General features: G+C 67.4%; 2 protein-coding genes and 1 non-coding gene across 10 annotated transcripts, besides 8 other annotated features; 2 read left to right on the top strand and 1 right to left on the bottom strand.

Moving 5' to 3' along the window:
- Positions 2,594-2,743: a silencer, noted in NCBI's record as "silent region_64". NCBI's record gives its function as "represses an Ori minimal core promoter by ATAC-STARR-seq in GM12878 lymphoblastoid cells {active_cell/tissue: GM12878}" and the evidence as "EXISTENCE:reporter gene assay evidence [ECO:0000049][PMID:35858748]".
- Positions 2,764-3,083: a silencer, noted in NCBI's record as "silent region_63". NCBI's record gives its function as "represses an Ori minimal core promoter by ATAC-STARR-seq in GM12878 lymphoblastoid cells {active_cell/tissue: GM12878}" and the evidence as "EXISTENCE:reporter gene assay evidence [ECO:0000049][PMID:35858748]".
- Positions 3,184-3,363: a silencer, noted in NCBI's record as "silent region_62". NCBI's record gives its function as "represses an Ori minimal core promoter by ATAC-STARR-seq in GM12878 lymphoblastoid cells {active_cell/tissue: GM12878}" and the evidence as "EXISTENCE:reporter gene assay evidence [ECO:0000049][PMID:35858748]".
- On the top strand, positions 3,215-17,355 carry DVL1 (dishevelled segment polarity protein 1). Of its 5 annotated transcripts, none has more exons than XM_005244733.5 (16): positions 3,215-3,737; positions 9,875-9,944; positions 10,149-10,270; positions 10,477-10,580; positions 10,828-10,966; positions 12,130-12,223; positions 12,317-12,386; positions 12,456-12,595; positions 12,821-12,897; positions 12,984-13,051; positions 13,194-13,271; positions 13,980-14,111; positions 14,197-14,364; positions 14,450-14,656; positions 15,578-15,615; positions 16,118-17,355. In XM_005244733.5, exons 1-15 carry the CDS (start codon positions 3,568-3,570, stop codon positions 15,586-15,588), a joined length of 1,650 nt encoding a protein of 549 aa, XP_005244790.1. In that variant the 5' UTR covers positions 3,215-3,567; the 3' UTR covers positions 15,589-15,615; positions 16,118-17,355. The 5 variants fall into 5 exon arrangements, with proteins under 5 accessions (XP_005244790.1, XP_005244789.1, NP_004412.2 ...); XM_005244732.5 differs by having other exon boundaries at positions 13,194-13,346; NM_004421.3 differs by lacking the exon at positions 15,578-15,615.
- Positions 4,253-4,882: an enhancer, noted in NCBI's record as "H3K4me1 hESC enhancer chr1:1283131-1283760 (GRCh37/hg19 assembly coordinates)". NCBI's record gives its function as "activates a minimal SCP1, AML or CMV promoter by ChIP-STARR-seq in naive and primed H9 embryonic stem cells {active_cell/tissue: H9 hESC(naive and primed)}" and the evidence as "EXISTENCE:reporter gene assay evidence [ECO:0000049][PMID:30033119]".
- Positions 4,524-4,700: a silencer, noted in NCBI's record as "fragment chr1:1283313-1283489 (GRCh37/hg19 assembly coordinates)". NCBI's record gives its function as "represses an EF-1alpha promoter that drives an FKBP-Casp9 reporter gene in an ReSE screen in both phorbol 12-myristate 13-acetate-treated (for megakaryocytic differentiation) and untreated K562 erythroleukemia cells {active_cell/tissue: K562 | K562(+PMA)}" and the evidence as "EXISTENCE:reporter gene assay evidence [ECO:0000049][PMID:32094911]".
- Positions 4,883-5,512: an enhancer, noted in NCBI's record as "H3K4me1 hESC enhancer chr1:1282501-1283130 (GRCh37/hg19 assembly coordinates)". NCBI's record gives its function as "activates a minimal SCP1, AML or CMV promoter by ChIP-STARR-seq in naive H9 embryonic stem cells {active_cell/tissue: H9 hESC(naive)}" and the evidence as "EXISTENCE:reporter gene assay evidence [ECO:0000049][PMID:30033119]".
- Positions 5,714-6,592: an enhancer, noted in NCBI's record as "H3K4me1 hESC enhancer chr1:1281421-1282299 (GRCh37/hg19 assembly coordinates)". NCBI's record gives its function as "activates a minimal SCP1, AML or CMV promoter by ChIP-STARR-seq in primed H9 embryonic stem cells {active_cell/tissue: H9 hESC(primed)}" and the evidence as "EXISTENCE:reporter gene assay evidence [ECO:0000049][PMID:30033119]".
- MIR6808 (microRNA 6808) lies at positions 12,925-12,983 on the top strand. The gene has a single exon (NR_106866.1). It is a non-coding gene; the product is annotated as a microRNA 6808 (primary transcript).
- Positions 14,630-14,689: a silencer, noted in NCBI's record as "silent region_61". NCBI's record gives its function as "represses an Ori minimal core promoter by ATAC-STARR-seq in GM12878 lymphoblastoid cells {active_cell/tissue: GM12878}" and the evidence as "EXISTENCE:reporter gene assay evidence [ECO:0000049][PMID:35858748]".
- On the bottom strand, positions 17,319-21,353 carry TAS1R3 (taste 1 receptor member 3). 4 transcript variants are annotated; one of them, NM_152228.3, is made up of 6 exons: positions 21,097-21,353; positions 20,695-20,995; positions 19,827-20,609; positions 19,509-19,712; positions 19,254-19,374; positions 17,319-19,127 (listed from the first exon to the last, which is right to left on the bottom strand). In NM_152228.3, exons 1-6 carry the CDS (start codon positions 21,285-21,287, stop codon positions 18,169-18,171), a joined length of 2,559 nt encoding a protein of 852 aa, NP_689414.2. In that variant the 5' UTR covers positions 21,288-21,353; the 3' UTR covers positions 17,319-18,168. The 4 variants fall into 4 exon arrangements, with proteins under 4 accessions (NP_689414.2, XP_047287527.1, XP_016857924.1 ...); XM_047431571.1 differs by having other exon boundaries at positions 19,254-19,371; XM_017002435.2 differs by having other exon boundaries at positions 17,319-19,374.
- Between the last annotated feature and the right edge of the window lie 78 nt (positions 21,354-21,431).

The following is a 21,431-nucleotide window of genomic DNA, read 5'->3' as shown; positions in this document are numbered from 1 at the left end:
CTGGGCCTGGGAGTCCTCGTCTCCACCTGGAACCCCTGACATCATCCCATTCCTTGGGCTGAAAGGTCTGGGTCTGGGTCCTCTGGGAGTCGGTGTCCTGGGAAGGGGACCTTTGAGCTAGTTCTGTGTGGCTTCTGGTCGTGGAGGAGTTCAGATTCCCTTGAGGGCTGACCTGGACGTGAGGAGGGGGGACGTGGTGGTGGCTGTGAGGCCAGAGGGAAGGCCGTGGGAGCACAGCTCTTGGAGAGGCAGAGGGACGAGGAGCGGGAGTAGTGGGATGCGGGTCAGACACTTGCAAAGGGGGCGGGAGCAAAGAGGCTCCAGCAGAGACAGCCCGGGACAGCAGGGTGGTTCCAAGAGTCTTGGCCAGGCCAGCACGGATCTGGCCCTAGAATCCTTTCCCGCTCAGGCATCAGCTGGTTGGGTGCAGGATCTCAGCACAAGTTCAGGCGGTGGGAGGAGTGGCGGGAGCAGGAAGGCCCGTGGCCCGGGGTCCTGGCAGCACAGACCAGCGACTAACTGCTGCTTCTTGAAGCTGGCGTCACCACCCAACCCCATCCTCCAGTCCTCCCAGGACAGTGGGGGTGGGAAAGGGTGACAGTTGCCCACAAGGACCCCACACAAGCATGGATGGGGAGGGAGGGAGGCTGGTCTGGGGAGGTGTGGCTTGAAGATGCACCCCCCTCCCAGCCCGGTTACCTCTGGCCTCACCAGTGGCCACACCTGTCAGGGCCCCAGCTGGACCACATCCGCGTCAGCAACGGGACTGGCCTCAGGCCTCTGGCTTCCAGCCTCTCTTGAGACCTAGCCTGGGGTCAGGCCCTCAGGGCAGGGACAGGCTTCCTCCCTCCCTGGGGCCTCAACAGATAGCCCCTCTTAGGTCTTCCTGCCTGGCTTCTGACCTCTGGGGAAGAGAAGGGCTGCGGGAAGGTGGAGGGGGCTGGCGGCTAAGCTGTCCGGGCTTGGCTGAGCAAACGCCACAGTTCTCCCTCTCAGAGCCCGGGTGCAGGGTCAGGATCCCAGGCCCAAGCTGACCGTCAAGCACTGGTGCCTGCACTGATCGGTTTCTTTCCGAGCCGGTGCAGCCCCCAGCACGGTCAGGGCCCGATAGATGCCAGTTCCATCTCGCCGGCTTCCTGGGGACGGGAACCAAGGGACCCCACCGCACTCTCTTCCCCATCGCTCCAGCCCCGTCCAGGCCCCCTCCTCACTCCCCCCGTCGCTCCTGCCCCGTCCAGGCCCCCTCCTCACTCCCCCCGTCGCTCCTGCCCCGTCCAGGCCCCCTCCTCACTCCCCCCGTCGCTCCTGCCCCGTCCAGGCCCCCTCCTCACTCCCCCCGTCGCTCCTGCCCGGTCCAGGCCCCCTCCTCACTCCCCCCGTCGCTCCTGCCCCGTCCAGGCCCCCTCCTCACTCCCCCCGTCGCTCCTGCCCCGTCCAGGCCCCCTCCTCACTCCCCCCGTCGCTCCAGCCCCGTCCAGGCCCCCTCCTCACTCCCCCCGTCGCTCCTGCCCCGTCCAGGCCCCCTCCTCACTCCCCCCGTCGCTCCTGCCCCGTCCAGGCCCCCTCCTCACTCCCCCCGTCGCTCCTGCCCGGTCCAGGCCCCCTCCTCACTCCCCCCGTCGCTCCTGCCCGGTCCAGGCCCCCTCCTCACTCCCCCCGTCGCTCCTGCCCCGTCCAGGCCCCCTCCTCACTCCCCCCGTCGCTCCTGCCCCGTCCAGGCCCCCTCCTCACTCCCCCCGTCGCTCCTGCCCCGTCCAGGCCCCCTCCTCACTCCCCCCGTCGCTCCTGCCCCGTCCAGGCCCCCTCCTCACTCCCCCCGTCGCTCCTGCCCGGTCCAGGCCCCCTCCTCACTCCCCCCGTCGCTCCTGCCCCGTCCAGGCCCCCTCCTCACTCCCCCCGTCGCTCCTGCCCCGTCCAGGCCCCCTCCTCACTCCCCCCGTCGCTCCTGCCCCGTCCAGGCCCCCTCCTCACTCCCCCCGTCGCTCCTGCCCCGTCCAGGCCCCCTCCTCACTCCCCCCGTCGCTCCTGCCCCGTCCAGGCCCCCTCCTCACTCCCCCCGTCGCTCCTGCCCCGTCCAGGCCCCCTCCTCACTCCCCCCGTCGCTCCTGCCCCGTCCAGGCCCCCTCCTCACTCCCCCCGTCGCTCCTGCCCCGTCCAGGCCCCCTCCTCACTCCCCCCGTCGCTCCTGCCCGGTCCAGGCCCCCTCCTCACTCCCCCCGTCGCTCCTGCCCGGTCCAGGCCCCCTCCTCACTCCCCCCGTCGCTCCAGCCCCGTCCAGGCCCCCTCCTCACTCCCCCCGTCGCTCCTGCCCCGTCCAGGCCCCCTCCTCACTCCCCCCGTCGCTCCTGCCCCGTCCAGGCCCCCTCCTCACTCCCCCCGTCGCTCCTGCCCCGTCCAGGCCCCCTCCTCACTCCCCCCGTCGCTCCTGCCCCGTCCAGGCCCCCTCCTCACTCCCCCCGTCGCTCCTGCCCCGTCCAGGCCCCCTCCTCACTCCCCCCGTCGCTCCTGCCCCGTCCAGGCCCCCTCCTCACTCCCCCCGTCGCTCCTGCCCCGTCCAGGCCCCCTCCTCACTCCCCCCGTCGCTCCTGCCCCGTCCAGGCCCCCTCCTCACTCCCCCCGTCGCTCCTGCCCCGTCCAGGCCCCCTCCTCACTCCTCCCATCCTGGGCCGCCCTCTAGTGGCCTCCGCGCTTCCTGCTGGGGTCGGGTCGGGAAGGCCTCCAGCCCCGCGAGCCCCGGAACAGTAAGCGCGGACGCCCCGCGGCCTCAAGGGACGCCTCGGAAGTCTCCCCTGCCCTGCGGAGAACCCCAGGACTAAATCCCTCCCGCCGCCGGGCGCTCCGACGCCTCCGTGCACGCCCGCGCCCCCGCGCGCCCCGCATCCGCTCGGCCTGCTGCCTGGACCCCGTGGGACCCGGCAGAGGGCACGCGAGTCGGGAGCCTTCGCGGTGGCGCAGAGCGACCGGGCGCCACCTCAGCGCCGCGCACCCGGCGTCCCCGGGGTCCCTCCGCCCGACCCGAGCGCCCCGGCGCCCACGGGCCCACAGCCAGCGGCGCGCGTCGCATGCGCCGGATCATAATGGAGCGCGGGCCCGCGCGCGGGGGCGGGGCCGGGGCGGGGCGGGGCGAGCGATGATCGCCTGCGTCTGCGCATCCTCGCCCCGCCCCCGCCGTGCGCCCCCGTGACGTCAACGCCGCGCGCTCGGGCGCCCCCCCGCGGCCACGCTCAGGACCCCGGGCCGGGCGGTCCCTTTAACGGCGCGGCCCGAGGGGCGCAGGCGGGAGGGCGGCGGGGCTGAGCGCGCCCTCCGTGCTGCGTCCCTCGCGCCGCTCCCGGGCCGGGGGCGGATGGGCGGCCGCGGGCCGCGGGGCAGCAGTCGGGACGCGCGCGGGAGCCGGGGGCGGCGGCCGGGGCCTGGGCGGTCGGGCGGGGGCGCCCGGGGGCCTCGGAGCGTCGGGGCCGAGAGCGGTGCGGGCCGGGCGGGGCGCAGGCGGGCGGGCGGGTAGCGCCCCGCGTCCGAGCCCCGGGCCGGGCCCTGAGCGCGCGGGCTCCGCGCCGCCGCCGCGCCATGGCGGAGACCAAGATTATCTACCACATGGACGAGGAGGAGACGCCGTACCTGGTCAAGCTGCCCGTGGCCCCCGAGCGCGTCACGCTGGCCGACTTCAAGAACGTGCTCAGCAACCGGCCCGTGCACGCCTACAAATTCTTCTTTAAGTCCATGGACCAGGACTTCGGGTCAGTCGGCCGCGAGGCCTGCGCGAGCCTGGCGCGGGCTCGGGGGTCGCACCTGCCCGCGCGGGGACGGGGCGGGGGTCCTGAGCCGTTCGCGCCCCCGGGGACCTGCGACCGCGACGCGCCTCCGCTAGATGCGGCGCGGGTGGCGGCCTCGGCCCGTGTGCGGCGCGCGCCCACCTGTCCGTGGAGCGGGGCGATGGCAGGCGGGGTTCCCGGCGTCCCTGGCCCCAGCTTCCCGGCCCCGAGTCCTGCCTTGGCCCGTGTCAGACTCGGTCGGCCGCATCGCTTCCACCGGGGCTGGCCGGGAGCGCCTGCCGTTGGTGCGGGCTGGGGTCAGGGGCGTGTCAGTGGGAAGGAAGCAGGGTGGGGTTCCCTAGCTGGGATGGGGAGACATGGGGGTACAGGTTCACCAACCTGTCTGCTAGGGTTTGCAGAAGCTTCCCGAGGGTCAAGACAGGTTCTCCTGGCCCCCTTCTGCAGGGTCCTTGTGACAGGGTGGAGGTCAAGGGCCACTGGTGACCATGAAACTTTATTCGCCTACCCGTGTCCTGAGCTTCCTGTGGGCCCCGTCCCCACTGAGCCACAAAGCACTTGCGTTCCCGGAGCAGCCCAGACCATCTGCTGTTTCGGGGCAGCCTGGGTCAGCGTCTCCCTGCTGGGCCTCGGTGGTGGTGTCCCAGGCGAGGAGACCCCTGCTGTGCTGAGCTGGGCCCTCTGGGACAGGGAGCAGGAGCCTGGCGGTCTGCTTGAGGCCTGGCCTGGCCCGGCCCAGCCACCAGTAACCTGAGTCCCTAGTCCCAGCTCAACAGTGCTGGGGGCGGGCTCAGGCCTCGTGGCCCCAGGAGGTGAGCCTCCGGCAAGCGGTGTCCTTGTGTGTGGCCGCTTCTTGGGATTGTGACATTAAGGTTGTTTCTTGGATTCTGTGGTTGCAGGGTCCTCAGGCAGCCCCAGGTCCAGTCAGGCTGGGTCCGCTCTGGAGCTCTCAGGGGGGCCCAAGGGACATCTAGACAGCTGTACTTTCCTTCCCCACCCCCACGACCAGGCAAAGCAGAGAGGGCAGGGTGCGTCCTTGGCAGCCTTTGAAGGCTGGGCGCTCCCCACTCGGCTCAGCGGCCCTCCTGCCCGCTCCGGTCAGGTTGGGCAGGAGGGGGCGGTTTGTTTTCTGAGTCTGGTCCGGGCTCCTCCCCAGCTGGGGCACCTTGCAGTCCCTGCTTCTCTGGGCCTGGGCTGCTTTGGCCTTGAGCATGGGGCATGTGTCAGGTACTTTTGTTTTTGACTTAGTTTATTATTCTAACGAAAGTTACCAAAGTTACTAATGCTGTTTGTTGCAAATGTGTGCCACCAGGAAATGCGTAGTGAGGAGGTGCCCAGCCCCCAGGTTCTGCTCCTGGACCATGCTCTGGGATGAAGCCCTGGGGGAGTCCGCCTTCTGCTCCTGACACCCACCGGGGGCTGCCCAGGGCAGAGACAGCCTGACTGTTGCCCTAGTGCACTTCTAGCAGTGGCTGCACCTGCTGGGCACATTTGGAGGACGCGTGGGTGCCCGGGCCTGGGAACAGGGTGGGCAGGTCTGGGTGTCGAGGCAGGCTTGGGGATGCGGCCAGGAAAGAGACAGGGGAGCTTCAGTGTACAGCTTTGGAGGCTGCAGACTTACAGGGGGCTGGGAGTCAGTGGGGCTGCAGAGGTCAGGGCTGGGCTGGGCTGGGCTGTGGGGGTTGGAAAGAATGGACTGGGGTGATGCTGGAGGTCCAAGACGAGGGCCTTGCTCTGTAGCCTCCCAGGTCCTCTGGCTGGGATGGGGGCCTTGCTCTGTGTCCTCCCTGGTCCTCTGGCTGGTGGCCTCAGGAGCCTACGGAGGACCCTCATCAATTACTTCCTTCATCCCTTCCCCTGAGTTCTACCCGCAGACCTCTCAGCACTGTCTGTTCTGTGGAATAGAACCCCCGTGGGAGGGGCTGGTTGGTCAGTAATACTTTAGCTTAAGCGACTGCTGAACTAGACACTGACCCTGGATGCCAAGCGAATGTAGTTGGAGATGGGGGGAAGAGAAGGCAGGTCCTCGCTGGTCTGGGGTGGCCTTCATAAGAGAGGGAGCTTCAGGCTGGGGACGCTGAGGAGGCCCTGGTGAGTCGGGGGTTCCTGCGCCAGCCCCCGCTGCATTCTCAGCCCAGCCCTGGTTCCCCAGCCTCTGCTCCAGAGCATGACTGACCACCTTGCAGTGCAGGGAGCCTGTGTCATGGCCACAACCACGTGCCCTGGTCTGGACCCCACTCCCCACGCACGGCTTTGGCCCAGTGGGTGAAGGTCCCCCGCCTGTCCTCCACTTTTCATGCCCTGGTCACAGCTATTCTGACCCAAGATCCCCAGGGCTGGGAGGAGGGCAGAATTGGGGAGGGTCTCTGCCTGGTGCTGGGTTTGGTGGTTGGCAGGGGGTCTCGCCCAGCCTTGGGCCGAGGCAGAGGAGGGAGGGTGTTTGGCTCCGGGTCCCCACTGCTGGGTGCGTGGCGGATGCTGGGCCTGCTGGACTTGGCACCGAGGCTGTCTGTTGGGCACAGCTCCCACAGTTCATCTCCGAGGTGGGGGTGACCCAGGCCTGGGACTGGGGGATGGGTGGAGGCAAGGCTGTGGGCCCAAAGCCCTGGTCCCCAGGGCCGCCTGCCATGGGCCTCGGTGTTGTGACAGCTCCTTGTGTCCTGGGTGGTGCTGTGGGGAGCTATGGAGTTGGGGAGGCTCTGCCTGGCCTGGGCTGTGGGGGGAGTTCCCACTCCGCCCTCCCTGGCTGTGCCACTTGGGGTCTGTGACTCAGCCTCTCTGTGCCCTGAGTGCCTCCCTGGTTTTGGGAGGGTCCAGGCAGTTCACCTACTGCACTCATAGCCATGGCCTAGCAGGGACACTTGAGCCTGTGTGTCCTGAACCGGGGGAGGGGCACAGAGAGATCCCAGGACTCGGCACCACCCAGGGGACAGGCTGGTGGAGAGCCCCTGGCTCTGGGGTCAGGGGTTGGGAGGCCACAGACCCCCAAGGCTGAGGGCCCTGACCTGGGGCGTGCACAGGGGGCTCTGAGGGCACAGGATGGCTCTGCACCGCCTGTCCTGGGCCAGCTACCCCTGCCAGCTTCCTGCTCCGCCTTGGGAGAATGGGGTGCATTCGGGACCACGCCACGTCTAGGGCAGCTGGCTGTGGCCTCTGGGAGTCTGGAGGGTTCTCTGCATCCTGTGTGGCCATGCTGGCTCCCAGGGCGCTGCCTCTGAGTGGATTCCTCCCCGGGGCGGGTCTGTGGGGGCAGCACACAGGTTAGCCAGGCCTCACAGGGAATCCCAAGGTGGGGGCACAGTGCCGGCAGGGGCGCCCCTGGCAGCTGCCGTGAGTTTCAGCGGAGGCTGCTACAGAGGCGCGGGGACCCCGGGTTGTGGGTACGCCCCCAATGCCTGGCCAGCCTCCAGCACCCTCCCCCATCTGGCTGGGGTGGGGACGGCAGGGCTCTGCCTGGGACCTGGGTAGCTGATCCCTGGAGCCCCAGGCAGACCCCACCCTTCCCTCTGTGCTGTTTGGGTCCTGCTCCCTTTCTCCTGGCCCAGCCAGGCTTGGGTCTGCACCCTGCCACTGGGGGCAGGGGAGGACTTGTTACACCCTGTTGGGCTGAAGAGGGCGGAGTGAGTAGGGCCTCTGGGTCCTGGCTGGACATCTGTGAGGGGGCAGGGGGCAGGGACATCCCAGGCAGCCTGGGGTCTTCGTGAGGCCCTGGCTGGGTGGGCCATGCGGGCTTGGGCCACTCTGGATGGTGGGAGGGGGCAGGGCCCTCTTCCGGTGGAGCCAGGCGGGTGCTGTACTGGGGTGCTGGGTGGCCGAGTCTCCCTCCAGTGAGTCAGAGGGTGCTGGGTGGCCGAGTCTCCCTCCGGTGAGTCAGAGGGTGCTGGGTGACTGAGTGTCTCCCTCAGGTGAGTCAGAGGGTGCTGGGGTTGGGTGTGGCAGGGGAGAAGCTGCCGGCCAGGCCACCTGGGGCCGTGTGTCAGGGACTGAGGTGGGGACCCTGCCAGGGGCTCTGCTGTGGTCAGGTCCATTAGAGACAAGGGCTCACTGTGGGCCCTGGCCCCCTGGCGGCAGCTAGTGGTGGCCTCGGTGTCCGTGGGGCCCGCCTCACCCTGGGTTGCTCCAGCCTTTCAGGTGTGACAGCCTCTCACTGTGGCGGCCTCAGCCTGGCATGGGGTCATGGTCTTACCTGGGAAGGCTCCTGTGTGGGGGCAGCAGACGTGGAGGGGTCTGAGAAGTGACCTTCTCTGCTCTTTGGGGGCGTCTACCTCATGGCCTGGCCCTGGGTGGCCTGGGGAGGCAGCTGCAGGACCCCAGAGGGCTAGGTAGGGGTCCCTGCTCCCACCTGGGCTGGCCCTGCCTGCTGTCCACTCTGCCCTGAGGCTTGGGGCCTCTTCCCAGCAAGTGGGTGGGCCAGGGCTTGGGTGAGAGTGTGGGTTTGCCACTTTGCCGGGGGCCTCCTGCTACCTACTGCTTCGGAGTCTGGCTGAGTCAAGGTGCCCCGGGGTCAGGGGACCTGGAGCGGCCAGTCGGGGTGGCTCTGTAGCTCGCAGTGGGACTAGCAGCCACAAGGCCGCTTCCTGCCAGGTGTGCGGCCAGGCCAAGCCCCGTCTCCGGGCTCCTATTTCTCCACTGGGCCCAAGTCCCGGGCGTGGAAAATGCTGCTGGGCAGGGCAGGGTGCCACGAGGCGGCGTCCAGATCCTACCCAGCCTGCTGCCTGGGCCCTCAGAGGTCACAGTGTGAGTGTCGACCACAGCCCTGCCTGCCTTGCTCCTTGGCCTGGGGACCTGCCCCTGCCCAGCCATCCCCTCTGTGCCGTGTGGGTTGCCACCCTGCCCTCTGAACTCTGAGCTCGGGTCACCCGGCCTCCTCCTGGTTCGTGTCCCCTGACCCTCTGCGGCCTGCCTGGGTGCCCTCTGCCCCGTTCCCAAGCCTATCTGACCTGGGGGTGGACTGGTGAGGCACCTGGCCAGCTTGCTCTCCTGGGGGCCCTGCCGGCTCCGCATCCCCTGCTGCCCCTCTAGGTCCTGAGGTGCAGGGAGGTTTGGTGAGTGGAGGTCTTTGTCTCCCTGGCTAGGTGGACAGGACAGGAGGGTGGTGGGCGGCCTCTGGGGACCTGTGGGCCCTCCCAGCCCACCTACGTCCGTCCGTCGGGTCTGAGAGTCCTTGTAGGTGGACTGTGAGCCTGACTAGGGGTGCAGGGCAGGGGTCAGGCAAAGCCCTGCCCTCACAGAGCCTGACCCTGGGCAGGCAGGCACAGGGCCTGGGACCTGAGGCTGCTCCTGAGACGCCAGGAGGGTGGAGTAGGGCCATAGGGCATGGCTGGCATGATGGAGAGGAGGCTGCTGGGGGATTTGGGCTCCTGGTTGGGAATGACAGGTCTGAGTGCAGGGGTGGGTGCAGGTGGCCTGATGCCCTGGCTGTTGAGGGGTGGGCGGCTGGTCTGGAGCTGGCTGGGAGGTGGAGCGGTGGACCTGAGGTCTGGGGCAAGGGACAGGGAATAGCCTGGGGAGCCTTGGGGCCCGGTAGGTGCAGCTGCTGCTGCTGAGGAGGCTGGGGCCTGGCCCTGAGGAGTCCCAGTGTGGGGGAAGCCCTGGGGGGGGGGGGCTCCAAGCCCCAGGAACAGATGAGGTGGGGGTGGTTGGAGACAGCGTCTGGGGCCACCACATACATGAACCGAGGGCAGCTGGGCACGGGGGCTTTCCCAAGGAGGCCTCACCCTAGCTGTCCTCCTACCTGGGGGCTGGGGACCAACGCTGCAGGGGACTGAGAGCCTTTGGCTGAGCTGCCCCTGTGAGGATGTCCACAGCCACTGTCCCCATGCTGGGGGGGTGGGGGCCCAGGATGTGACGGAGAGGAAGGACGGTTCCCGAGAGGAGAGTGCGTTAGCAGGGGTGTCCGCAGAGTGACTGGCCCCATGCTGGGGGGGTGGGGGCCCAGGATGTGACGGAGAGGAAGGACGGTTCCCAAGAGGAGAATGCGCTAGCAGGGGTGTCCACAGAGTGACATTGTGTGGGCAGGAGGAGCGCCTGCTCTCCAGGCCTCACCTCTAGAACCGCAGGGTTGGGCCCCCCAGGTGGGGCCTCACGGCAGCATATGCCCACAGGGTGGTGAAGGAGGAGATCTTTGATGACAATGCCAAGCTTCCCTGCTTCAACGGCCGCGTGGTCTCCTGGGTGAGCCCCTGTGTCTTGGCCCCGAAGGCTCGCCTGGGGAGCATTCCAGGGTGGGGCTCTTCCTGGGGGAGGCGGTGGGTGTGGGGAGGCCCTGGCAGGCTGGGTGCGGATAGGGCAGCTTGCTGGCCCCCTGTTCCCTGGGTGCCCTGAGGAGGCGTCCTGAAGGCGGGTGGGCTCCCCTGAGCATGCCTGCTCCCTCCACAGCTGGTCCTGGCTGAGGGTGCTCACTCGGATGCGGGGTCCCAGGGCACGGACAGCCACACAGACCTGCCCCCGCCTCTTGAGCGGACAGGCGGCATCGGGGACTCCCGGCCCCCCTCCTTCCAGTAAGGACACCGTGGGCGCTGGGCCCTGCTACCCCAAGCCTGTCATGGGGGTTGCTGGCCAACAGGGGAGGGAGGCCTGCCTGGGCCAGTAGGCGGGCGTGGCACCTGCTGGGGCTGGGGTCCCACAGGCGAGGGGAGGCTGGGCTGGGCGGCATCTGAGGGGCTGGGGCCACGGCCTCCCCACCCACCCTGCTCTTGTTGCACAGCCCAAATGTGGCCAGCAGCCGTGACGGGATGGACAACGAGACAGGCACGGAGTCCATGGTCAGTCACCGGCGGGAGCGTGCCCGACGCCGGAACCGCGAGGAGGGTACAGTGGTCATGTCTGCCCAGCTGTGGACCCCCAGCCTCCCTGGGACCCCCATGAGCCATGTTCCTACTACAGCAGTTCCTGTCCCCCAGCCAGTGGCGGTGCTTGGGTGGAGGCACAGGCCCAGCGAGCCTACAGTTGAGCTGCCAGCTCCCAGACCCACAGGCATGCAGCACTGCCCAGGCAGCCCCAAACCCATGACCTCTGGGAGACCCTGCAGTCAGTTCCCAACCTGCTGCCCCCACAGCCGCCCGGACCAATGGGCACCCAAGGGGAGACCGACGGCGGGATGTGGGGCTGCCCCCAGACAGCGCGTCCACCGCCCTCAGCAGCGAGCTTGAGTCCAGCAGCTTTGTGGACTCGGACGAGGATGGCAGCACGAGCAGGTGTGTGGGAGTGTCTGTGGGCGTGTATGCCTGTGTGCCCACTTGCAAATGTCTGTACATGATGTGCATGTGTCTGCATGAGGTGTTTTCACATTGCACGTGTGTGCGTGTGTGTGCATGTGTGTGCCTGCAAATGTCTGTGTACATGATGCACGTGTGCTTGTGCACGTGTTCCACATGAGGTGTTTTCACTGTGCACGTGTGTGCGCGCCTGTGTGTGTGCCCGCGTGCAAACGTGTACATGATGCACGTGTCTGCTTGTGCATGTGTGTCTGTGTGAGGCGTTTTCACATTGCGGATGTGTCTGTGCATGTACCTGTGTGCAAACGTTTATGTACATGATGCGCATGTCTGTGTGTGCATGTATGTGTGTGTGAGGTGCGTTTTCACAGTGTGCACGTGAGCGTTTTCACAATGCACGCGTGTGCGCAGGTGTGTGCATGTGTGCGTGTGCGTGTGTGCAGGTGTGCGTGTGCAGATGTGCGTGTGTGCAGGTGTGCTTGTACAGGTGTATGTGAAGGTGTGCGTGCAGGTGTGCATGTGCAGGCGTGCGTGTGCAGGTGTGTGCAGGTGTGCCTGTGTGCAGGGGTGCGTGTGTGCAGGTGTGCATGTGTGTGCAGGGGTGCGTGTGTGCAGGGGTGCATTGTGCAGGGGTGCGTGTGCAGGTGAGTATGCAGGTGTGCATGTGTGCCTGTGCAGGTGTGTAGTGTGCAGGGGTGCGTGTGTGCAGGTGTGCATGCGTGTGCAGGTGTGCGTGTGTTCATGCGTGCGTGTGCAGGGGTGTGCATGTGTGCCTGTGCGCAGGGGTGCATGTGTGCAGGGTTGCGTGTGTGCAGGTGTGTGTGCAGGTGTGTGCATGTGTGCCTTGTGCAGGGGTGCGTGTGTGCAGGTGTGCATGTGTGTGCAGGTGTGCATGTGTGCAGGTGTGTCAGTAGTGGATCTGGCTACATGTGTCTGTGCCCAGTTTGCCTGTCTCTGGGATTTTCGTGTGTGCTCATATGCATATCACGTGTGCAGGGCCTGGGGCGTGGACGTCAGGCACTGAGCCTGCTTTGGAACAAGCCTGGCCTAGACCCCCGATTCCCACTCAGTATTGGGGGAGCGGGTTCCCACCCCCCTACCCATGTCTCCAGCTCCTCTGAGCTCTGACAGTCTGTTCCCAGGCTCAGCAGCTCCACGGAGCAGAGCACCTCATCCAGACTCATCCGGAAGCACAAACGCCGGCGGAGGAAGCAGCGCCTTCGGCAGGCGGACCGGGTAGGCAGCCGGGTGGAGCAGGGCGGGGCTGGGGAGGCGAAGTCAGTGTCGGGCAGCCCCGTGCCTTTTACACACGCCCCCTCTCCTCCATAGGCCTCCTCCTTCAGCAGCATAACCGACTCCACCATGTCCCTCAACATCGTCACTGTCACGCTCAACATGGGTGAGGCCTCGGGGCGAGGGTTGGGGGCAGGGGCAGGGGCTTGGCCGCGGCTCATGGCTCTTCCTGCAGAAAGACATCACTTTCTGGGCATCAGCATCGTGGGGCAGAGCAACGACCGTGGAGACGGCGGCATCTACATTGGCTCCATCATGAAGGGCGGGGCTGTGGCCGCTGACGGCCGCATCGAGCCCGGCGACATGTTGCTGCAGGTGTGTCTGTGGGGGCTGCGGGGTGACATGTAGCTGCGGGTGGGTCCGTGGGGACTTTGGGGTGACGTGCGGCTGCGGGTGGGTCTGTAGGGGCTGCTGGGGGACATGCGGCTGCGGGTGGGTCTGCGGGGGCTGCTGGGGGACATGCGGCTGTGGGTGGGTCTGCGGGGGCGGTGGACTGAGCTGCACATCCTGCCTGCACCACCCTAATCCCCACCCCTGCAGGTGAATGACGTGAACTTTGAGAACATGAGCAATGACGATGCCGTGCGGGTGCTGCGGGAGATCGTTTCCCAGACGGGGTGAGGGCTGGGGGCGCTGGAGCGGGAGGGGCCAGGCAGGGAGGTGGGACCATGGGGGCCTTGCTGTGTGACCACCGTTCCTGCAGGCCCATCAGCCTCACTGTGGCCAAGTGCTGGGACCCAACGCCCCGAAGCTACTTCACCGTCCCACGGGGTGAGTGGCCCTCGGGGCACACGGGGCGGGATGGGGAGGGGGCGCCTACCTAGCCTGAAGGCCTCTCTCCTCTGTGCCCTGCACCCTGCCCTCCCACCCTGTCCATCTGTCCGCCTGTCATCGCCACGTGGCGGCCACCCAGCTGACCCGGTGCGGCCCATCGACCCCGCCGCCTGGCTGTCCCACACGGCGGCACTGACAGGAGCCCTGCCCCGCTACGGTACGAGTCCCTGCTCCAGCGCCGTCACGCGCACCAGCTCCTCCTCACTAACCAGCTCCGTGCCTGGTGCTCCACGTAAGTGGCAGCTCCTGAGGGCCCCAGCAGAAACCGAGGCTTGGAGGGGGCGTCTCTGCCAGCCTCCAGCATGGCCGCCTGTGGCCGTCATGGGGCTGTGACACGTGTGTGTTGCCTGTCCCCAACTCCCTGCACAGACGTGTGCACAGGCACCCGTGCCCACCTTGTGCAGCCCATCCTGCTCATGGTCTGTGTGTTGGGAACAGGGGATGTACGTAGGGCCCCTATGCGGGGAGCACCCACGGCGTCAGAGGCAGGGGCCAGGTCTCCATTCTGCTTCCTGCCATTAACACGACTAACAGCCTGCGCTCTCGGGTGGGGCATGCGGGGAGGGGAAGGGGCCTGCCCTGTTCTCATTACTTCCTGGTCTGCAGGGTGGGGTGTCAGCCCAGTTTGTGCCTAGGATCCTGATGAAAAGTGTCTGTAGAAGTGGGAGACTAAATGTCCAACCCCCCTGCTCACGCCCCAGCCTCACGGGGGTGCATCCTGCAGTGGGCCGGGGCCCTGCTGTCACGCACCGTCCAGCTTGCGCCCTGGCGCAGGCTCTGCCCAGAGGCTCCCCTGGGGGTGCAGGGCCCTGAGTCCCCCGCCTTCAGATGCTGGGGCTGAAGCGGGGCTGTCTGTGCTTTGCAGAGCTGGAAGAGGCGCCGCTGACGGTGAAGAGTGACATGAGCGCCGTCGTCCGGGTCATGCAGCTGCCAGACTCGGGACTGGAGATCCGCGACCGCATGTGGCTCAAGATCACCATCGCCAATGCCGTCATCGGTGAGTGGCCGTCCCCGCGGGCGGATAGTGCCAGGGGCAGGGCTGCTTGCCTCGAGGCTGCGGGCTGACCGCTGGTGCCGGCCAGGGGCGGACGTGGTGGACTGGCTGTACACACACGTGGAGGGCTTCAAGGAGCGGCGGGAGGCCCGGAAGTACGCCAGCAGCTTGCTGAAGCACGGCTTCCTGCGGCACACGGTCAACAAGATCACCTTCTCCGAGCAGTGCTACTACGTCTTCGGGGATCTCTGCAGCAGTGAGTGGGGGCTTCGGGCTTCAGGGCGGGGGGGAGGGGAACGCCGGAGGCCCCTCCGCGGCCCTCACCTACCCTCCCCCGCCAGATCTCGCCACCCTGAACCTCAACAGTGGCTCCAGTGGGACTTCGGATCAGGACACGCTGGCCCCGCTGCCCCACCCGGCTGCCCCCTGGCCTCTGGGTCAGGGCTACCCCTACCAGTACCCGGGACCCCCACCCTGCTTCCCGCCTGCCTACCAGGACCCGGGCTTTAGCTATGGCAGCGGCAGCACCGGGAGTCAGCAGAGTGAAGGTGAGAACGCCGCCCCTACCTGCCCTTCCCCGGCTCCGCCCCCAGCTCCGCCCCACTCCACTGCTGCTCCGCCCCCAGTTCCACCCCACCCCGCTGCTGCTCCACCCCCAGCTCCACCCCACCCCGCTGCTGCTCCGCCCTGCTTCTCTGCTGACCCCAATCCCATGCTCCTGCTGTGTACTTGGGCCCTGGGTGGGCTCCTTCTGGAAAAGGCAAGTGCCAGGGGGATCCAGGAGCCAGTGTGAATGGGGAGGACAGGGAAGCGTCTCACACAGGGGCAGCCTGGACCCCACCTCATCTGGGTGGGATTGGGATGAGGGGCCTCCAGGAGCCTGGCGGCCTGGGCGGCTGTGCCTGGTAGGGGTGGCGGCTGGTGGTTCTCCTATGGTAGAGGCAGGAGGCCCTGAGACCATGTGGCCATGGGCCATGTGACAAGGACAGGGCAGGGGTGGCCAAGGAGTCTGACAGGGTCACTTTCTAGGCCCCAGGACACAGGAGGGTGGCAGCTGCAGCCCGGGTAGGGAGCCTGACGTGGATGGTGCCGTGCATCCTAGCCTTGTGCCCCTGGCTGGGGTGTGTTTAGGGGCCGGGGATCCAGAGTGTTCCTGAGGTGTTGCCTGGTGGAGCAGAGGCCCCAGTGGGTGGGGTTGGTGAGGCCAGCAGGGGCGTCTGCAGGCCAGGGAGGGGTGCAGGTGGCTTCGTGGAGGGCCCAGGAAGGAGGGCGAGAGAGGAGAGGCGGCCAGAGGGTGTGGGACCGCAGAGAAGCCACGCTGGGTGTCTACTGACCCTCGACCGGCGCTTGCGCCCACTTCAGCCCCGCCCAGCCCGCGGTCAGTCCCCACTGGTGGCGGGTGGGTGCTGGGCAGGTGCCAGGCAGCCGGGCGTGTAACTCGTGCTATCCCTTGTCTTGTGCTAAACAAGCCTTAGACTGAAGGACTAGCGGAGCGGACCTTGGGCCGGTAAGCCAGGGTCCCGCCCGGGGTCCCTCAGCATGTCCCCAGCCAGCCACGCCCTCCAGCTCCCACTGCGTCTTGGGAGCCCAGGACAGGGCTGAGCTGAGTCATCCGTCGGCCAGGGTCCTGGGCCGGGGGGACAGTGGGGCCTTGGGTGGGGAATCCAGGATGGCCACGGGGGCACCGGGCATGAGGGGCCCTCGCTGGCACCTCAGTCTTTCAGCCGCAAGACCAGGCCCTCAGCTCAAGCATCGGGGTGAGGTGTGGGGGCGCCCAGCTTGCCCCAGGACCCTGCCTGCCTCCCACTGCCCCCACCAGCCCATGCCTGCCGCAGCTGCCCCTGCGACCCTGGGGGTGCCGGCCCTGTCCTCGCGCCTGCATGGCTGCCCCACCCACCCGTCCTGCACGGGCCACCGTTCCTGCCCGGTCACCTGGCGGGGGCGGTTGTTCTGGACGTGGCCGGGCCTGGTGCTGACAGGCTCCTTCCCCATCCTGTTCTCACTCCCAGGGAGCAAAAGCAGTGGGTCCACCCGGAGCAGCCGCCGGGCCCCGGGCCGTGAGAAGGAGCGTCGGGCGGCGGGAGCTGGGGGCAGTGGCAGTGAATCGGATCACACGGCACCGAGTGGGGTGGGGAGCAGCTGGCGAGAGCGTCCGGCCGGCCAGCTCAGCCGTGGCAGCAGCCCACGCAGTCAGGCCTCGGCTACCGCCCCGGGGCTCCCCCCGCCCCACCCCACGACCAAGGCCTATACAGTGGTGGGGGGGCCACCCGGGGGACCCCCTGTCCGGGAGCTGGCTGCCGTCCCCCCGGAATTGACAGGCAGCCGCCAGTCCTTCCAGAAGGCTATGGGGAACCCCTGCGAGTTCTTCGTGGACATCATGTGACTCGTGGCGCATGCCCCAGCCCTGCCTGAGGTGGGGAGCTGGCGGTCCTGCCGCATGCAGAGCTCGCGTGGGCTTGCCTTCGTGGGGGCCAGGACGGGAGGCAGGGTGGGGGGCAGGCTGGACCACCACCATCTGCCCTGGCAGCCTGGCTGCTCCAGCTCCTGACAGCACCTGTGTCTGAGCAGCCGTGTTGGGGGCGCTCCCTCTCTGCCCCTCAGCGAGAGCCTCGGACCTCCCAACCCCTTGTGTCTGGTGGGGATCCCTCCTGGGATGAGGAAGACCCCCTCGGGCTCTCGGCTGACCCCCACCTCCTGCACAGCTGTGCCCAGGCCCCCAGGGTGGTCCATGCGGGGCAACCCCCTGCGGTGCACAGGCCCCCTGTCTGGAGTAGGGATCTAATTTATTTATTTATTGCCTGGCCGGTGACTCGGGGGAGGAGGCGACCCTGTCATCTGTCCCACCTGCTGCTGCCCCTTGGAGCAGCCTGCACCTTCTCTCCTCCCATCCGGCAACAGTCTGAAAGTACGTGGAGGACGGGACCGGAAGACGAGAGAGGGCTGGACATCCTGCCCACCGTGTCCCAGCCAGGGCAGGGAGGGACCATGGCCCGCAGGGTCAAGGGGCCCCGATGTGCACAGCTGCCACAGGGAGGGAGGTCTTGGGGAGATGGGCAGTCAGGTGGCCCGTCCTTGGTGAGTGCACACACTGCGCGCACACATCGCGGCCTTCCTGGCTTCTCTGGCCCCCACGTGTCTGTGCTGTAGATACTGTATCAAAGTCCCAGCGTTTAGATGGTTAACATAGAGCTGCTTCTGTGTAAATGCTGCTTATTTTAAACACTAAAAAGCGTTTAATTTTATGGGACAGATGTGTGGCCTGTGCCCCTTCTCTCCGGCTGGGCTGCCTTGGAATGAGGCACAGGGAGCTGGTCCAGCCTCCCCTAGGCCCTGCTGGGAGCTGACCCTGGGACTCTGACCGGAGACCCTGTGTGGGCCTGGCGGCGTGCTGGCGTCAGATCCTGGTGGGCAGTTTTCTGTCCATGGTGCTGGCTCCGGGGTCCTGGTGGTCGGTGCTGGCCGTGGTGCTGGACCCCGCCCCCACCCCACCTGGGCTCTGTCCCTGGTACTGGTGACAGTCATGATGCTGTCTACCCACTGGGCAAAGGGCAGAGTAGGAAGCTGGGTGCCACCCCTACCTCGGCGGGCTCTGCCCTGGGCATATGCCTGTGTGCCCCCACCTGGCCTCCCACTGCTGTGGTGCCTGGCAGGGTGCAGGATGGGGGCCCTGGTGGGACATGGTCAGGTCGGCAGGGCCTGATTTGGGCTTCCAGCCATCTGGCCGGGGCCTCCCTGCGTCCTTTTCCTGAGCTCACGGTGTGGGTTGCGGGTACCCTGGGAGCCCTCCGGGCCTCTTTCCAGAACAGTGGGTCTGGGTTACCTGGGCAGGCCTGGTCTGGGCACAGAGGGACAGGGACACAGCTTGGCTCTGGGGCCCAGATGGTCACAGGGGTGTCCACGTGCTCCAGGCCTAGGGCTCACTGTGGGGTCAGGGTCAGGAGACAACCTGGGGTCAGAACCTAGAGCGGGAGGGTCTCTGTAGCGAGACACGGGTCATTGCTGGCTTGGGGGGGATCGCAGCTAAGTCTGGGTTCACCGGGGCTGAGATCACAGGGTTGGGTCACTCATGTTTCCCCTGATTTCCTGTGTTCCCGTCATTCTGGCCTTGGGCATCCCCAGGGCCCCCTCCCAGGAAGAACTCGGGGGTGTTGAGCCCTGGCTGCCGCATGAGCAGGTAACACCTGGGCAGGTGGAAGGCAGCCAGGATGCCCAGGACACAGAGCAGGAGGGCGCCCATCTGCACGGCGGGCCTGAGGACCACCTGCACATTGGCCAGGAGGGGCACAAAGGAGACCCAGGTGATGAAGTAGGCCAGCATGGCAAAGGTGAGGCCACGGGCACGGTTGTAGCAGCCCGGCTGGCTCCGCACCAGGAAAGTGCCCAGGAAGCAGAGAAAGGCCAGCGTGGCATTGGTGGCGTGCGCTAGGCCGAAGCTGACCCAGGAGCGTGTGCGGCAGTGCACCAGCGCCTCCGTGGGCAGCATGTGCCAGTCCGTCACCACCTCCGGCGGGAAGGCCACCAGGTACCAGGTGCACAGTGCGACCTCCACCAGCATGGCCAGCAGCACCACCAGCCAGGCCCAGGGCCCCCGCAGGCAGCCACTCAGCCGGTCTGCCCAGCTCAGAGGCAGTTCTGACTCCACGAAGATCTCGGCCGCCTGCAGGAAGAGTGTGCTCAGGCAGCCCGTGAGCGGGAGGTGGGACAAGGGCTGCTGGGCCAGGCATCGGGCAGGGCTGGGCTGGCCAGGGAACAGGAGGACGCTGAGGCAGACCAGGCCCAGGCACACCAGGCCAAAGCAGGCCAGGGGCCCCCCCGAGGCCTGAACCAGTGGGCTGTCCCGATGGTGAACGAACAGCCCCAAAGCAGCCAGCACAAGGCCCAGCGCCAGGCTCAGCAGCAGGAGCAGCAGCAGCACAGCCGGCTCGCCCCATGCCAGGAACCGAGACCTGCGGCGGAAGCAGCGTGTGCTTCGCTCCGGGGACCACTCATCCTGGCCACAAAAGGTGCAGGCGATGTCGTCTGTGAGAGAGGAGAAGGGCGCTGGGTGTTCGTCTTGTACCCTGTGGGCTCTGGTCTCAGAGTCAGGACTTGGCAGGACCCTCCCCTGCTGCGTTCCCACCCCCGCCTGCCGGGAAGGCGGCTCACCTGGGTTTTGCCGGTAGCTGCCCGCCTCGCAGTCCACACAGTCGTAGCAGCAGGAGTGGAACCCCTTGACCCGGCGCACCTGGCCCTCCTGGCACTGCCGCGAGCACCGGGACACGGGCTTCTGCGCACAGGCCTGGGGTCTGGCTCTGCTCGGCTGGGCATGCCCACGGGAGACTGGAACGGCCCCCACCCCCAGGCTGCGCCCTGCCGCGGGGGCTACCACGGGCACGCCTGGCACACCCACCCTCACCTCACCTGGTTGTCAGACGTGTGCCAGCGGATCTTCAGGCGCTCTGTCCTGAGGCTGCCGTTGAACCTGCCCACGTCGTGGAGCCTGGGCACTGAGCCCTGCCACACCCACAGCTTCAGGTCGTACTCCATGTCCACGTTTCCGCTGCTGTCGAACCGCAGCGGCAGCCCGCCCACGTGGAAGGTCAGGTTGTACATGTTCTCCAGGAGCTGCGGGCGGGGGACGGGGCTGAGCCGCCAGCCACCTCCAGCTCAGGCGTGGTGGCCGTGCCTGGTGGCCTGGGCACATGCAGAGGACAGCACACCCCCATCTCCCGGGCTCACCTGCCAGGGCTTCACGGGGTCCTGCGCGGGGCAGCCTGAGGCGTTGCACTGAAGAGTGTTGTGCAGGGCCTGGGCCACGCTATACACAGCTGCGTAGACAGAGAACGTCTGGTGGTGATTTAGCCCTGCGCTCACGTTCTGCAGCGTGATGCAGTCACACTGCGGGCAGCGCTGGCCCACCACGTCCTCCTCCAGACCCTGCTCCCTCTCGCCCAGGGCAGAGCAGAAGGCCGGGTCGGTGGCCAGGGCCAGGTGCGTCTTCACGTACTGGGGGAACTCGTGCAGCTGGGCACCCCTCTGGAGGAAGCCAAGCACCGTGCCCATCTGGGCCATGCCGGGCAGCCCCATGACCAGGTCAGAGGTCAGCCAGGCCTCGCTGGCCACCCACACCTTGGGCGAGAGCCTGCTGCTGATGCTGTAGTTGAAGAGGGCGTGGGCGGCGTGCACGGAGGCGAACAGCAGCACCACCTGCACGCTGCTCTGGTTCACCTGGTGCAGGACGTCCTGCACCTTCCCCAGCCGCGAGTCATCGGCACGGGGCAGCGGCACCAGGCCCTCGTGCGCGATGCAGATGCCGCGTGCCGCGGCCAGGGCCGAGAAGATGCTCAGGCCCTGCCGGCCGTACTCGTCGTCGCTGCCCAGGGCGGCCACCCAGTTCCAGCCGAACTCCTGCAGCAGCTCCGCGGCGGCCGTCAGCTGCACACGGTCGCTGGGCACGGTGCGGAAGAAGGAGGGGAAGGTCTCCCGGGCGCTCAGCAGCTCCATGCTAGCACCGTAGCTGACCTGCAAGGGCCAAGAGGCATCTCCTGACACAGGGGCTCCCACGGGCAGGGCTGGGTGGGGGTGGGTGATGGTGGGGGGCGCCCACCTGGGGCATGAGGAAGAAGCTGAAGAACTTGCCGGTGACCATGGCGAGCTCTGACGAGTGGGGCCCGATGACAGCCAGCACACGGGGCTGGTACTGCGTGTAGTTGCAGTAGGCGGCGATGTCGCGGCTGCCTGCCTTGGCCAGGAACATGAGGCTGGGCTTCATGGCCACCACAGGCTCCGAGCACGTATCAAAGAGGTCGTAGCCCAGGCGCAGCCCGGGCAGCAGATCCGACTTGTTGTTGATCTCCTCCACGGCCATTTTCATGGCCAGTGCCCAGAGCAGGCCGTTTGAGGAGAACCTGGGGCCACACAGAACCGCAGATGGCCACCTCGGCCCCAGCTCAGGAGCACCCCAGACCTGGTCACCCTGACCCCGACCCAGGCCGTCCCACCTCTGTACCTGGTGCACACAGGGCTGCTGGGCCGTGTCCGGCTGCGGAGGCCAGCCTCCTCGGCCTCGCCCAGGGGGAACAGCCCCCCCAGCACGTAGTCCCCCTTCATCCTAAGTTGCTGTGACAGGCACAATGGGGCCCCCGTCCCAGGGTGCAGGAGAGCCCAGAGGCTGAGGCCCAGGACAGCAGGGCCCAGCATGGCAGAGGCAACTTCCAACAGGCACGGCAGGTGGCTGCCCCGACTGGGGCCTCACATGGAGTGAGCCCGGGGCGGGGAGCGGGCAGAGGATTTGTTTAGCAAAACCCTTGCCATCCTCACTTGCCACACCCTGGGGCCCCAGTG

Source organism: Homo sapiens, chromosome 1 (genome assembly GCF_000001405.40).
Source record: "Homo sapiens chromosome 1, GRCh38.p14 Primary Assembly".
Taxonomy (NCBI): domain Eukaryota; kingdom Metazoa; phylum Chordata; class Mammalia; order Primates; family Hominidae; genus Homo; species Homo sapiens.
The sequence above is the reverse complement of the archived record's forward strand: the minus strand, read 5'-3'. Positions and strand labels throughout refer to the sequence as shown.